General features: G+C 39.4%; 1 pseudogene, besides 1 other annotated feature; it reads left to right on the top strand.

Annotated features, from left to right (window-relative positions):
* RNU2-8P (RNA, U2 small nuclear 8, pseudogene) lies at positions 6,465-6,654 on the top strand (annotated as a pseudogene).
* Positions 14,650-15,157: an enhancer, noted in NCBI's record as "NANOG-H3K27ac-H3K4me1 hESC enhancer chr6:121892975-121893482 (GRCh37/hg19 assembly coordinates)". NCBI's record gives its function as "activates a minimal SCP1, AML or CMV promoter by ChIP-STARR-seq in naive and primed H9 embryonic stem cells {active_cell/tissue: H9 hESC(naive and primed)}" and the evidence as "EXISTENCE:reporter gene assay evidence [ECO:0000049][PMID:30033119]".

The raw sequence follows: 15,897 nt of genomic DNA, 5'->3' as shown, positions 1-15,897 counted from the left end.
CACAATCTCCTGAGTTTTATTTCTCAGTGTTGTATGCTCCATTAATGCTTCCAAATGAGTCTCAATGGTCAATATGCTGATCTCAGGAAAGTCAAGTTATATACAAACTCTATCTTTTAACTCTGCAGCATCTGCATTCATATATCCATAACCCTAATGAAGATGAAAAAGCTGAAAAGAAACCAACTGTTTTACTGGAGTGACCTGGTTTATTTTTCTGTGCAATTGGACTAAGCCTGTAGAAAGAACTGAGAGGACTGGGTTATTTCAGGTTCATGTTTTTCTCCAAATCATACCACACTTTCTCATGTCAAATGAAATATCTAAAGTGAAGACACTGTAAATATTTTCATTTGGATCATTTTCAAAATTTTCAGTGTGAAAGTGGTTATTTTTTAATCAGTCTTTATATTTGAGATGCATATTGAAATATTTACTGAGAAAATTGGAAAATACCTGGGAAAATGGTTAAACCTGGGTGATGAATACATGAGATTCCTTATGTTATCCTCTACTTTGTATAGGTTTGACAATTTTATAATTTATCTGTGGTATGTTGATATTTTACTAGCATTTAAAAAATGAAACAAGTAAATATGTTTAGCTGTCTACCTGTTCCTTAAAGCCATAATAAGTGTATGTCAGTCCTTTTTTCAAGAACTATAGAATTGGGTGGAGTGCAGTGGCTCATACCTGTAATCCCAGCACTTTGGGAGGCCGAGTTGGGTGGATCACTTGAGGTCAGGAGTTTGAGACCAGCCTAGCCAACATGTTGAAACCCGGTCTCCACTAAAAATACAAAAATTATCTGGGTGTGGTGGCACATGCCTGTAGTCTCATCTACTTAGGAGGCTGAGGCACGAGAATCACTTGAACCCGGGAGGCGGAGGTTGCAGTGAGCTGGGAACTTGCCACTGCACTCCAGCCTGGGCGATAAAGCGAGATTCAGTCTAAGAACAAACAAACAAAACTATAAAATTATAATCATTAATCTTGCACATGTCTCTAGACTGGTGTCTATCTCTGTTAGTCCCCAAGCTGTTCCCTTTCGGGAAGAGGACAGACATCTTCGGTAGGAGCACAAATTATTGGTCTTTGGGACTCAACAAGTAAATGAAGAGAAAAATTTAATGAACCATTTCATATAAATAATTTTCAACACTACTAAAAGGTTTACTATGAGGATCAATGAAATGTAGTAATTTATGGGAGATACTCTGAGATTTGGGAAAGATTGCTGTTTACTACAACTACCATTATTGTTATTATTGTTTTGTTTTGTTTTGTTTTGTTTTGTTTTTTGAGATGGAGTTTTTTTTTTTTTTTTTTTTTGAGATGGAATTTCTTGTTGCCCAGGCTGGAGTGCGATGGCATGATGTCAGCTCACCGCAACCTCTGCCTCCTGGGTTCAAGCGATTCTCCTGCCTCAGCCTCCTGAGTACCTGGGATTACAGGCATGTGCCACCACGCCCAGCTAATTCTGTATTTTCAGTAGAGACGGGGTTTCTCCATGTTGGTCAGGCTGGACTTGAACTCCCCACCTCAGGTGATCCGCCTGCCTCAGCCTCCCAAAGTGCTGGGATAACAGGTGTTAGCCACCGCACCCAGCCCACTACCATTATTTTAATAGTTGCTTTTGCCTTCTTCATCACTGACCTCAGCCCAGTTCTCCACTGTGGTCTCAGGGAAGCTTACAAACATACAAAAGGAAAAAAAAAAATGTCCTTATCTTTTTCTCTCCTTAGCTAAAGTATAAGGTTAAGGAAGGATGAACTTCCTTTAGTGACTCCCTCTAAGAACAATGACCTACAGGAAAGGGTGGGGAGGGAGTTACAAGAAACCTTGCCTAGATAAGTCTGCGAAGAGACTGACTTCTAAGAAAGATTTGTCAACATAAAAGTTAATTTACCAGGCTGATTTTTCAGAGCAGTTCATTATCATCACAGGTCATTCTTATTGCATTGTTCTATTTGACGTAAGCGACAGATAATAATACCTACTGTATCACTGTAGAAAAAAGTCCACAATATACCATTAAAATGTTTCAAATACCATTTTTTTAGTATTCAGTTTTCTTCTTAAATAAACTAGATTTTTAATGTCATCTGTAGTATGTATGCAACTTCTCTTTGCTCTCTTCTCTCCCACATACACAGCTCCTGCTGAGCTAATGGTTTTCTATTTTTATCTTGCTATTTATAATTTACTGATGTTTCTTACCAAGAATCTTTGGTTTGACTCACAAAACTCATCTGAACCTATTGCCAGTGTTGAAGTATTACTGTTTTAATGTCATTATTTAATCATAGAAATATTTTCTGTGCACACATTTTTAAATTATGTATAAATAAACTCTACCAAGGCTTTCAGATTGTAGCCCATAATCGTGTGTGTGTGTGTGTGTGTGTGTGTGTGTGTGTGTGTGTGTGATTTATTTATTTATTTTTGAGACAGGGTCTTGTTCTGTCACCCAGGCTAGAGTACAGTGGTGCTATCATAGCTCACTGTAACCTCAACTCCTAGAGGTTCAAACAATCCTCTCACCTCAGCCTCTGAAGTAACTGGGACTACACATGTACACCACCATGCCTGGCTAATTTTTTAAACTTTTTGTAGAGACTGGGTCTTGCTATGTTACCCAGGCTGTTCTCAAACCCCTGGCCTCAAGTGATCCTTCCACCCACCTCAGCCTTCCAAAGTGCTGGGATTACAGGCATGAGCCACCACACCCGGCCTTGTGTGTGTTTTTAAATAGTCTTGACATATTTCCAAAGAAGTGCATGTACATTTAATAAACATTATCCTTAGACTCTTTTTCAGTGAGTTTAAGAAGGATAATTTGGAAATTTATTACATTTATTTTCCCCTTTTATTATGTCATCAACACTGGCTATACATTCTTTGAATTACAGTAAAGAATTTGGCTGTCTGAACACAACAAAATAAGAACACAAGACTTATTTCGAGTAAATCCTAACTTGTGTTAGCCAACAATGAGCAAAAAGATTTTTCCTAACACTTTTGCTCTGTTTTGGTGAAGATATTTAATATCTAAGAACCATATTTGTTTCACATTTTATCTCCTACCTTTTCCACTCTTTAAATAGTATCTTCAGAAAGAGAAACTATCAAAAACTACAGAGCTTGGCCTGAACCTGCTTACGTCGATATATTTTCATTGGATAAGTTTATATAAATATATGATGGCCAGGCATGGTGGCTCACATCTGTAATCCCAGCACTTTGGGGAGCCATGGACGTAGGATTTCTCGAGCCCAGGAGTTTGAGACCAGCCTGGGCAATACAATGAGACCCCCCCACCCCCAATCTACAAATAATAATAATAATTTAAAAATTGCCTGGGTGTGATTGTGCATTGTCTGTAGTCTCAGTTATTCGGGAGACTGAGGTGGGAGGATTGTTTGAGCCCAGGAGGTGGAGGCTGCAGTTGAGGTAGAATCTGGGCCACAGAGCAAGATTCTGTCTCTAAATAAATAAATAGGCCAGGAGTAGTGGCTTACACCTGTAATCTCAACACTTCAGGAGGCTGAGGCAGGAGGATCACTTGGGCTCAGAAGTTTAAGACCAGCCTGGACAACAGAGTGCGACCTTGTCTTTATTTAAAAGATAACACGTCTGTAATCCCAGCACTTTGGGAGGCCGAGGCGGGCGGAGCACGAGGTCAGGAAATCGAGACCATCCTGGCTAACACGGTGAAACCCCGTCTCTACTAAAAACCCAAAAAATTAGCCGGGCGCCGTGGCGGGCGCCTATAGTCCCAGCTACTCAGGAGGCTGAGGCAGGAGAATGGGGTGAACCCGGGAGGCGGAGCTTGCAGTGAGCCAGTGAGCCGAGATAGCGCCACTGACTCCGGCCTGGGTGAAAGAGCGAGACTCTGTCTCAAAAAAAAAAAAAAAAAGATAATAATAAAAATGAAAATAAATATATGTTATACACACACAAACTCACACATACATACTCTAACACACACATGCGATGTAAACTTTACTGAACAAATCTAAACACAAGAGATATCACCTGTTCATTTGAGCTGCATTTGGAAAACCTCCATCTAGAGCCTTGTTTATTACAGTACTATCACAGCTTATTTAAGATAGAAAGACTGGAGTTAGTGCATGGCCTCCCTATTTAATGGATACCAAAAACCAAGAACCAAGTTGAAGGAGGAAGTTTTCAGTATTCAAAGCTAGTCAGTGTTCTCTGGATTCTACTGAATCCTCACAGACTTCTTCCTTAGAAAATAAATAAATAAATGAAACTGAATGAACCTAAAATACTTCCGTGCAAAAATTGAAAAGACAGCTAAATTCATGCTTAGTTAGTCTTATATGGAAGAAAAATGATTATTTTTTAATATATATGAATCTAACTCATTTGTGAAGTAAGGACTTATTAAAAAACAAAACCCTCAAAATTCAGGTCTCCAACTGTTTCTTTTGGTAAAAATTATGGAACACATGCAATCTCTGTTGTGGTTACCCGTGACAGAAAAACATAGAAGCATGCCTTATGATTTCTCTAAAGGGATTTTTAAATCCTCAGGGACATTCCTTAAACAAGATTACTAATGCTAATTTTGTGATGCTCTGTTGGTTTTACTTATATATTAATATGATAATATTCAAATCCTATTGTCTTAAATCTAGACATACCAAGAGAGATTTCTAGCTTCATGCGGGACAGATTACTCCCGTATTCCCATCACAAGCAACTAATAAGCAGGGCAGTGAGGCATTTGGCTTCATAATGGCTGCTGGGAAGGATGATTTAAGATATTTCATCTTCCTTTATTAAAATGGTTATATCTTGATACTAGAAAGCCATTTAGTGCTATCCCTGGTGTGCTAAACTCTGAAGAGGTTTTATGATTTCCTTAATGTTACTTTTTTAGGCCAAAACTCAAAAATCCTTTCTGTAGAATCTTCATGGAAAACCTTCCTTCTACATACACACACATACACACACACACACACACACACATACACACACAGACAACACCTACCTACAGTGCTTTCAGACTTAACATCTGAAGTTCACTATCCCAAAACAGAATAGGGAATGGTATATCCTCAGGGATATGAGGATTTAGCAGAGACTGTCCCATCCCACCATAAAATATTTTTGAAGTTTCATGCATTGAAATCTTATACTTTGCTTTTAAAATTACCCCAAATTTTGCTTTAGCTGCATATTTTCCTGTTTTAATATATATATTTTGTCTCAAAGAACTAAAAAGTGGCCCAAACCGACATAACACAGGACATTTATGTTCTTGTAATCACACACATAGTTCCACAGGTCATGGGCACTCAGTTTGAGAGTCTGGAAGACCAAAATGTACATGTTAGCAAGACTGAGCTGAGAGATAGTAGAATCTGTGTAATAGGCAATCCTACTTTTAGCAAGCATCCAGATAATTTAGACTAAATATACTTGGGACCTAGAGATGAGATACACAGGCAGTCTTTCAAAAGGCAGGGAGGAGGTGGAGTTCAGGGTGGCTGAATATTAGGGGGGTCATTCAACTGTTCAGTTATTTACTCCCTTATGAGCTCCGGGCACTGAAACAAGTTACTAACTAGAAAGACAAAGATGGATAATTACAGCTCTAACCAAAGAAGAGCACAAACTAGCCAAATTAGCAGAAGAAAACAGACACCTAAACTGGAACTTACAAATTGAAATGAAAAGTAAAAAGGTAGAGAGACATCAAATGCATCTGGAATTGAGGAAGTGACAAGAACTAAGGCAGTGGCACTGCCTCTTCCACAGGCTTAAGAAATTTAAGAATTGTTATAAATTTCTGCAGCAGTGTTCAGAGGCTTAGGAAGAAATGTGAAGCATGCATGTCTATTACTTTCTCCGACTTAGATGCGAAGAGGAAAGATTTGGCTTATTTCAACAAGATCAATTCTAAACTCATTCTCTTGAATAACTGAGTTGTTCTAAAAGGGTAAGAAAAGTTTTGTTGTTTTTAAAGACTCATCTAAATTTAATCAAGTTGCTCCTCCCTGAAGGCAGTATCAGGTCACAGAGAACTTGTTTGAAGACATTTGGTTTCAGCTACCAAACTGAGTGAAGGGACACGACCTGAGTGATCAGGTTAGATACCCACCTCGACAAACACGCGAACACACACACACACCCTCAAGTTAACATGATGGAGGCTGGAGATAAGTAGAAGTAGTAAAGAAAGATATTCCATTTTGCTGACTTAAGCAAGTCAGATACTAAATAGAAAAAAACATAGGGTAAGGAGCAGGTAATTTAGTGGGGATTGGGAAGAGAACTTAATAAATGCAGGTTTGGATAAGTTGAAGTTGAGATTCCTTGTGAGCCAGCAAACTGGATGTATAAATCATTCTCTTAGGTTTATATGACTGGAGATCACAAGAAAGATTTGAATTAGAAATTTTTAATTGAGAGGTTTCACAATATAAATAATTTCTTCTTGGCCTTTTAGCTAAGATCAAATGTGGTATCTGTTCTTAACAGCTTAAAATCTGATATGTCCTCTATTCAAGGACAATATATTAAATGTATTTTTGAGCAGGGAGATGGAATAGAAGCTTGCTCCTTCCATTCCATACATCTACCTAGTATTGCAGTGCCTCCAGGAATGGTACACCACACACACACACACAAACACACACACACACACACACACACACACACACACAGAGATAGATAATACAGAAGCTGTGAGAGGAGATAAAGATTACTTAGTTTACATAGTTTCTTATAAAAAGTTTTACATGTTATCCAAGTAATTAATACTTTTTTTTTTGGAGATAGGGTCTTGCTGTGTTGCCCAGGCTGGAGTGCAGTGGCATGATCACAGCTCACTGCAACCTTGAACTCCCAGGCTCAAGCAATTCTTCCACTTCAGGCCCCCAAGTAGCTGGGACCACAGGTACACACCAGTATGCCTGGCTAATTTTTGTATTTTTTTGTAGAGACAGGGTTTTACTATGTTGCCCAGACTGGTCTCTAACTCCTGGGCTCAGCAATCTACCTGCCTCAGCCCCTCAAAGTGCTATGATTACAGGTGTGAACCACCTAGCCCATCCAGCTTCACTCTTATTATTGTATGCAATTTTTACTATCATGCAAATAAGCTCAGGTAAATAAAACTAATGATCGCCTTAGAAAATTACACAATTAGTGTGAAAAAAAAAAAGATTACCTGGGGACAATGGGGTAGAATATGGAGCCCTAATGGAAAATAGCATTTCTGTGAATGGATAGAAAAGCAGAAGTCAACAAAAAATACTGAAGTAGCCTGAGAATTAAGAGGAAGATCACCAGAGTGCATTTGCTTAGAAATCAATGACACTGGAAAAAAGGGAGGATAATTCTCAAACCCAGTGCAGAGATAGGGGGAGTAGCCTGAGAGAGGAGGAGGCAAACCTTTTCCATTAAAATGGCAGGAAAGGCAGAAAGGTAATATTGCATAGCAGTGTGCAAATTTGGTGCTGGAATACTGAAGAAGTTTCTATCTGAGGGTTTCTCTTTTCTCTATGAGGATCCACTGAAGAAAAGGATATGAGAGGTAGAGGAAATATAGCTGAAGTCAGATATTTGAGGTAAATTCACTAGTCTTGAAATCACCACAATGAAGAGCAGAAGGATAAACTCGCTTGGGAAAAAGAAAACATTGTCCAGCAGTGTTCATGGTCCAAGTGAAGTGGTTAACTATAAATTTAACAAGTAGTAGTTATCCTGGACTTTTCTTGTTTTGTTTTGTTTTCATTTTCTATAGCAGTACTCAAAGGTCACAAAGAAATGTGAAGAATAGAGGTTCATTATTTTCTCCAACCTAAGACCTAGATGTGAACAGTTAATGTCTGGTTTACTTCCAATAGACCAATTCTAGAACCATCCTCATGAGTAATTGATTATTCCAACAGGACAATTTTTTTTTGTTTGCTTTTAATGATTTATCTCAATTTAATCAAGTTGCTTCTCCCAAGGCAGGGTCAGGTCACGGAGGTCTTACCAGAAGATGTGTGGTCTCAGGTACCAAATGGGTTGAAGGGGCAAGACATGAATAACCAAGCTAAACTCCTCGCTCCCAATTTTAGGGGAACTGAGACACAACAGTATACATACAGAGTTCATCATCAGTTATTGGAGAATAAAAGGAACCAGTTCTTCAAAGTCATGCAGTAACAAGAATAATTATATATTTTATCTGTAAAACAAAGACTGAGAACAAGGATCTAAGCTCACTTGATATGACATTATTGCCAAGTTTTTTTTTTTAATTCAAACTACCTAAGGGTGATTGGTCTGAGAGGTTGAGTTGAATTTACAGATAGGAATTAAATGGACTCAACTGTGTGAATTGAAGGGTTGCAGAGTCAGGCAGATTACAAAATGAGGCTTTGAAATCTTAGAAGAGCTCCCTCCACCCTCTATTCCCTAATCACATACTCAGAGCATTTGTGTGGTATCACCAAAATGATGGGTGCTGTAAATACTATATGGGAATTAAAAGGAAATACTATGATCATGAGTGGGTAAATTATGATGAAATGAAGAAAGAGGAACACAGAAGAATGAAAACAGAACCAGAGTGACAGAAAGGTCAAAAGTTCAATAAATTTTCAAAAGAAAATTTCATATGTGAATAAAAACAGACTAAAAGGACAGAAAAATGTAGAAATGCCAGTGGCCCTTCTTCCCTTTTCTTAAATATTAATATACTATTGATATTGTCAAAGACTCTCTCCTTTGACCAAAACTTTAGAGAGGCTTTCCAGTCCTTTCTGACTAGGACCAACCTTCAGGGTCCCTCTCCATCCTTGTAGAACTGTGAGATCAAAAATCCTGCTAGCCAGTTTACCAAAAATTCCCTACCCCTGATACTGGGGTCTCTAACTACCCTTGATATCTGATCTCACCATCTTCCCTTCAGCAATAAAACTACTAAGTAGAGCCAGAGATCCCCTAATACTTGATGTCTCCTCCTAGTAATTTCCCATCCACTGACCTCCAGCCTGCTCCTTGGTTATAAATCTCCACTTGTATACTTTTCTTGGGGAGCAAAAAGAAAAAAAAAATTCTAACTTTCCCTTGCTGGAAACAAACTGGAGTCCACTCTCTGTCCCCCACTGTAAGACCCAATTGCAGTCCCTATACCTATCATCATGGCCTACCTTGAGTAAAGTCTGCCTTACCATCTTTAACAAGTAAAATGATAATTTTTTTTCTGAAGCAGTATATATAATATAATGTAGAAATGTAGGGGAAAGGAACACGTCTGGAATAGATGATGAAAAGAAAATAAGTGTAAATGATAGGAATCAAGCATAACATTCAACTGAAAGCAATCACAGAACCTAGGGGGAATGCACTGAAGTAGAGCAACATTAGCCTCTGGGAAACCAGTGGGAGTCTACTAGAGGTGTAGGTGAACAATGATAACAAGCTGGAATCTAGAACTTTGGTTCTTAAATACTGTATGCTCTTCTATCTCTTCTATTGCTCTCATAACATGTTTTCTGGCTGGGTGCAGTGGCTCACACCTGTAATCCTAGTACTTTGGGAGGCCAAGTCAGGCAGATCACCTGAGGTCGAGAGTTTGAGACCAATCTGGCCAACATAGTGAAACCCCGTCTCTACCAAAAATTAGCCAGGCGTGTGGCGGGCACCTGTAGTCCCAGCTACTCAGGAGTCTGAGGCAGGGAGAATTGCTTGAACCCAGGAGGCAGAGGTTGCAGTGAGCTGAGATCATGCCTCTGCACTCCAGCCTGGGCAACAGAGCAAGACTCCATCTTGGAAAAAACAAACAAACAAAATGTGTTCTTAAACCTTATCAAAAATTGCTTAAACTAAGATTTATCGTAACTATCCAGTAAAAGAAAAAAAATCATATGTAACTTAAGAACAAAAAAATTATGTACTTTTTAATAAGTGACTCCTGCTCATTGCAGAAACAAAATCAATCCACTGAGACCACAGCATTGCAGTAGGAAAAGAGTTTAACTGGCACAAAGCTGGCCCATGAAAGAGAATGGGAGTTATCACACAAATCAGTCTCTGCACAGGCTCAGAGACTAGGCGTTCTTATGGACAATTTGGTGGGCAGGAGGCTGGGGAATGGGTGCTGCTCATTCGTTAGGGATGAAATCATAGGGTGATGGAAAGTTGTCCTCCATCCTCGTGCACTGAGTCGGCCTCTGGATGGAAGCACAGGACCAGTTGAGCCATAAGTCACCAGTCCAGATGGGGTCAGTCTGAAAATCTTAGGTTCTACAGTAGTGATGTTGCTGATAAGAGTAATTGGGAAAGTCACAAATCTTGTGATCTCTGGTCATATGACTCCTTAACAGTAAGGGATTATAGAAACTATGCCTACATTTTATCAGAGTTTACACTCCTCCCATAAACCTATTCTTGTGGCCTTTCATTAGCTTTACAAAGGTGGCTTTCAGTCCCTGAGCAAAGAGAGGGTTAGTTTTGGTTCTTTTATTGTTGTTTGTTTATTTGGGTTTTTGTTGTTGTTGTTTTGAGATGGGGTCTCACTCTGTCACCCAGGTTGGAGTGAAGTGGTGCCATCTCAGCTCAGCGCAACATCCGCCTCCCTGGGCTCAAGCATCCTCACACCTCAGCCTTCTGAGTAGTTGGGACCACAGGGGCATACCACTACACCCAGCTAATTTTTTGTATTTTTGGTAGAGACAGGGTTTTACCACATTGCCCAAGCTAGTCTCAAATTCCTGAGTTCAAGCCATCCACCCGCCTCGACCTCCCAAAGTGCTGGCGTGAGCCACCACACCCAGCTGAGGGAGTTAAGTTTTAAGGAGGGACTATTATCATCTTTCCTTTCAAGTTAAACTATAAACTAATTCCTCCCAAAGTTAGCTTGACCTATGCCCAGTAATGACCAAGGACAGCTTGCAGATTGGAAGCAAGGTGAAGTCAACTATGTCAGATTTCTCTTACTCTCAAAATTTTGCAATGGCAATTTCATTACTGGCACAGTAACTATTCTACCGTATTTCTTATTTAATAGTATTTAGGAAACTCAAAGCTTTGAATGCACGTCTCCATATGTACATATATGACTTTTGAGCTTTTGATAAAAACACCATCTGACACAAAAATAGGACTTCATCTCCTACACTATCTTAAACAGTTTTGCTTGTGCGATTTTAAAAAATTTTCAAACTTCATTATCTCAAATTATATTTGAATTAATCCAGGGGTCAGCAAACATGTTTTGAAAAGTATCAGATAGTAAATATCTGGCTTTGTGGGCCAGAGGTATCTATTGCAACTTTTCAACTCCACTGTTGTAGGTCAAAAACGGCTACAGACAGATGTAATAAATAGGTATGTGTCTGTGTTCCAATAAAACTTTAAAAAACAGGTGGCAGTTCAGATTTGACCCATTGGCTGAACCATGGGCTACTATTTGCAGATCCCTAAATTGATGTGTGAATTCATAAATTAATTAGATCATTTTAATCTAAATACTATAGTTTATACAATCCAGGTTAATTAATTTTTAAAAACTTGGTTCAATCTGTAAGTATTTTATTTAGCCATTTATTTACTAATTTATTGAAACATAAAATTTTGAGGACAAAAACTTTGCTGTGTTCACCATTGTACCTCTAGCACCTGGAAAGGTCCCTGTCATATTATAGTACTATATATATAAAATATATAAAAATATATATAAAATATATATAATATATAAAATATATATATAAAATATAAAATATATATAAAATATATATAATATATAATATATATAATATATATTATATATAAAATATATATAATATATATTATATATATATTATATATAATGTATATATTTTATATATAAAATATATATATTATATATATATAAAATAAATGAATTTACTTTACAATTAAACTGTTCCTTCACAAAATGAAAGTTAATGAAACTGCTTTTCCAGGAGTACGCATCTAAAATATGTTTTTCTTTATAAAGTCTCTCAAAGTTGCTATGTTTGTTCTATCTACATATCTAAATAAATATCCTGTCCAAATATATCTGCTATGCATCCTAGACAAAAGATAAGTTATCTATATTTCATATCACTAATTAAAGTACTAATTTTCTTGCCCAACAAAAGTAACATTTATTTATGTATTATTTTTATTTATTTTATTATTCTTTTAAAACTTCTTCTTTATTAGTAGTCTGGAACATGACCCTCCCCCACCCCCCACAAGAATACTGCCTCCTTCTCTTTGCATTCCTAATGTAAAAATACTAATTCTTTTTGAGGCGACGGGAATGATTCTGCCTACCAGAGAACAAGTCAAAACGAAAAGGAAAATGTTAATATTTTCATATCCATAAGCATTTTAAAAATAAATACTTGGCCACCAGTAAGCCAACTCTACCTAATGGTATAACCAGGCTGTTTGCTCTACTGTCCTGCCTCTTCTGAGCATGAAGCCAGGACTCTTTCTCTCCAAAGATTCAGTGCCCCAACTTGACCCCATCTCTTTGTTTGCAGGATTATGACAAGAGTCCAGGCTGTGAACGGGAGCTATTTTATAGGTTCTTGTAGGGATCCGTGCATGGTGGTGGTGCAGAGAGTACAGCAAAGTCTCAGGGCACATATGAATGTCCTTCTGATGGATAATCCCCCAGGGAGCAGGCAGAGTAGATGTAGGGTCCATCCCCAACAATTCCACAGACACTGGCTTGCATATGTTCCCTCTCAATGTCTACCAAAGGTATTCAGCCTTGCTGCCTCTACTGCAGACTTCCACTTCTCCATCAGCACATGCCCCCTCTACACTTCCACCTCGACTTCCCCTCCACACAAAACTTCGGTCACACCCAACCACCCCCTCTTCCTTCCTAAATCCTTCAGCCCCTCCTGAGATGGGGCAGTGGTCTTCAGTCTCTACCTCTATTTTCTTTCTAGAGCTGTTAATAGCATAAACAGTGTTTTACTCCCCTCAGAATCTTTCCTTTTGATACTCATGAGCCTGCTTGAAAGTGAAAGAAACAAAATCAAGCCTAATATTAACTTTCTTTCTTTGAGCATTCCTGTTTTATTACTAGCTCAGAACATCCTCCTTCTTCTTCCCCTCCCTACCAAAAAAGTACAATTTTCTTCTCCTTTCTCATTCCTACTGTAACAGTACAAATTCTTGTTGAGGCTACATGAATGATTTTGCTATCTGAGTATCTGAGTAAAGGTCAAAAAGAAAAGGAAAAATAAAATGTGCATAATAAAACCCAAGTCCTTGCCATGACCTGAAGGCCCCTCCATGATCTGGCTTTTCTTATCTCTCTGACCTCATATCCTATGACTCTGCCCTTCTGCTCACTATGCTAGTCACACTGCCTTCTTCCTTTATCTCCAACTTGCCAAACACATTCTCATCTCAGGGTTTTTGTACTTGCTGTGACCCCTATTTAGGATTCTTTTTCCACAGACATATGCTAGCTCTTTCACTCTTTTACATACTTACTCTAAAGTCATTTCCTCAACAAAAGTTTTTCTTGCCACTTTGTGAAAATACAAATTCTCCTAACATTACATATCCTTCTTCCCCTATTTTTTTTTCTAGCTTTCTAACATATTTGCATTGGTCCATTCTCACATTGCTATAAAGAAATACCTGAGGCTGGGTAATTTGTGAAGAAAAGAAGTTTAATTGCTTACGGTTCTGCAGGCTGTACAGGAAGTATGATGCTGACACCTGCTCAGCTGCTGGGGAGACCTCAGGAAACTTTCAATCATGGCAGAAGGCAAAAGGGGAGTGAGATGTCTCACATGGCCAAAGCAGAAGAAAGAGTGAGATGTGGGAGGTGCTACGTACTTTTAAACAACCAGATCACTTGAGAACTCACTCAATTATGAGAACAGCACCAATAGGAAAATCTGCCCCCATGATCCAATCACCTCCCACCAGACTCTACCTCCAACATTGGGGATTACAATTTGACATGAGATTTAGACAGGGAAACAGATCCAAACCATATCATTCTGCACCTGACCCCTCCCAAATCTCATTTCCTTCTTACACTGCAAAATACAATCATGTTTTCCGAATAGTCCCCTGAAGTCTTAACTCATTCCAGCCTTAGTTCAAAAGTCCAAAGTCTCATCTGAGATAAGGCTAGTCCCTTCTGCCTATCAGCCTGCAAAATCAAAAACAAGTTTGTTACCCCCAGGATACAATGGGCGTACAAGCATTGGGTAAATATTCCTGTTCCAAAAGGGAGATATCAGCCAAAAGAAAGGGATTACAAACCATGCAAGTCTGAAACCAAACAGGGCACTCATTACATCTTAAAATTCCAAAATAATCTCTTTTGACTCCATGTCCCACGTCGAGGGGACACTGGTGCAAGGGGTTGGCTCCCAAGGCCTTGGGCAGTTCTGCACCTGTGGCTCTGCTGGGTACAGCCCCCATGGCTGCTTTCACGAGCTGGCAGTGAGTGCCTGTGGCTTTTCCAGGGGCATGGTGCAAGCTGGTCGTGGATCTACCATTCTGGGGTCTGGGGGATGATGGCTCTCTTCTCAGAGCTGCACTAGTCAGTGCTCAGTGGGGACTCTGGGGCCTCCAACCATGCACTTCTCCTCTGCACTGCCGTAGCAGAGGTTCTCTATGTAGGCCCACCCCTGCAGCAGGCTTCTGCCTGGACATCTGGGCTTTTTCATACATCTTCTGGAGTCTAGGTGGAGGCTCCTAAGCCTCAACTCTTCCACTCTGTGCACTGGCAGGCTTAACACCACATGGAAGTCACCAAGGCTTATGGCTTGCAACCACTGAAGCAGCAATCTGAGCAGTATCTGGGCCCCTTTGAGCCACAGCTGGAGCTGGAGTGGCCAGTATGCAGGGAGCCATGTCCTGAGGCTGTGCAGGGTAGCAGAGTCCTGGTCCTGGCCCACAAAATTATTCGTCCCTGCTAGGCCTCTAAGCCTGTGATGGGAGGGGCTGCCACAAAGGTGTCTGAAATGTTTCTCCATTGTCTTGGCTATTAATACTCTGCTCCTCTTTACTTATGCAAATTTCTGCAGCCAGCTTGAGTTCATCCCCAGAAAATGGGTTTTCCTTTTCTACCACAAGGCTGGACTCACAAATTTTTCAAACTTTTATGTTTTGCTTCCCTTTTAATTATAAGTTCCAGTTTTGGGTTATTTCTTTGCTCAAGCATATGAGAAAAGGCTGGTAGAATCACCCAGGCCATATTTTGAACACTTTCCTACTTAGAATTTCTTCTGCTGGATACCCTAAATCATCACTCTGAAGTTCAAAGTTCCAGAGATTTCTCAAGCAGGAGCACAATGCTGCCAACCTCTTTGGTAATGCATAACAAAAGTGATCTTTGCTCCAATTCCCAATAAGTTACTCATTTCTATCTGAGATCTCTGCAGGTTGGTCTTCACTGTCCATATCACTTTCTGCATTTTGGTCACAACAATTCAACAGGTCTTTAGGAAGTTTCAATTTTTTCCTCATCTTTCTGTCTTCTTCTGAGCCCTCCAAACCGTTCTGACCTCTGCCTGTTGCCTGGTTCCAAAGCTGCTTTCACATTTTCAGGTATCCTTATAGGAATGCCCCACTCCCAGTACCAGTTTTCTGTATTAGTCCTTCACATTGCTATAAAGAAATACCTGAGCCACCGCTGCTGTTACCCAGGCAAACAGGGTCTGGAGTGGACCTCTAGCAAACTCCAACAGACCTGCAGCTGAGGGTCCTGTCTGTTAGAAGGAAAACTAACAAACAGAAAGGACATCCACACCAAAAACCCATCTGTACATCACCATCATCAAAGACCAAAAGTAGATAAAACCACAAAGATGTGGAAAAAACAGAGCAGAAAAACTGGAAACTCTAAAAAGCAGAGCGCCTCTCCTCCGC

Source organism: Homo sapiens, chromosome 6 (assembly GCF_000001405.40).
Source record: "Homo sapiens chromosome 6, GRCh38.p14 Primary Assembly".
NCBI lineage: Eukaryota > Metazoa > Chordata > Mammalia > Primates > Hominidae > Homo > Homo sapiens.
This window is presented reverse-complemented; position numbering and strand designations above follow the sequence as displayed.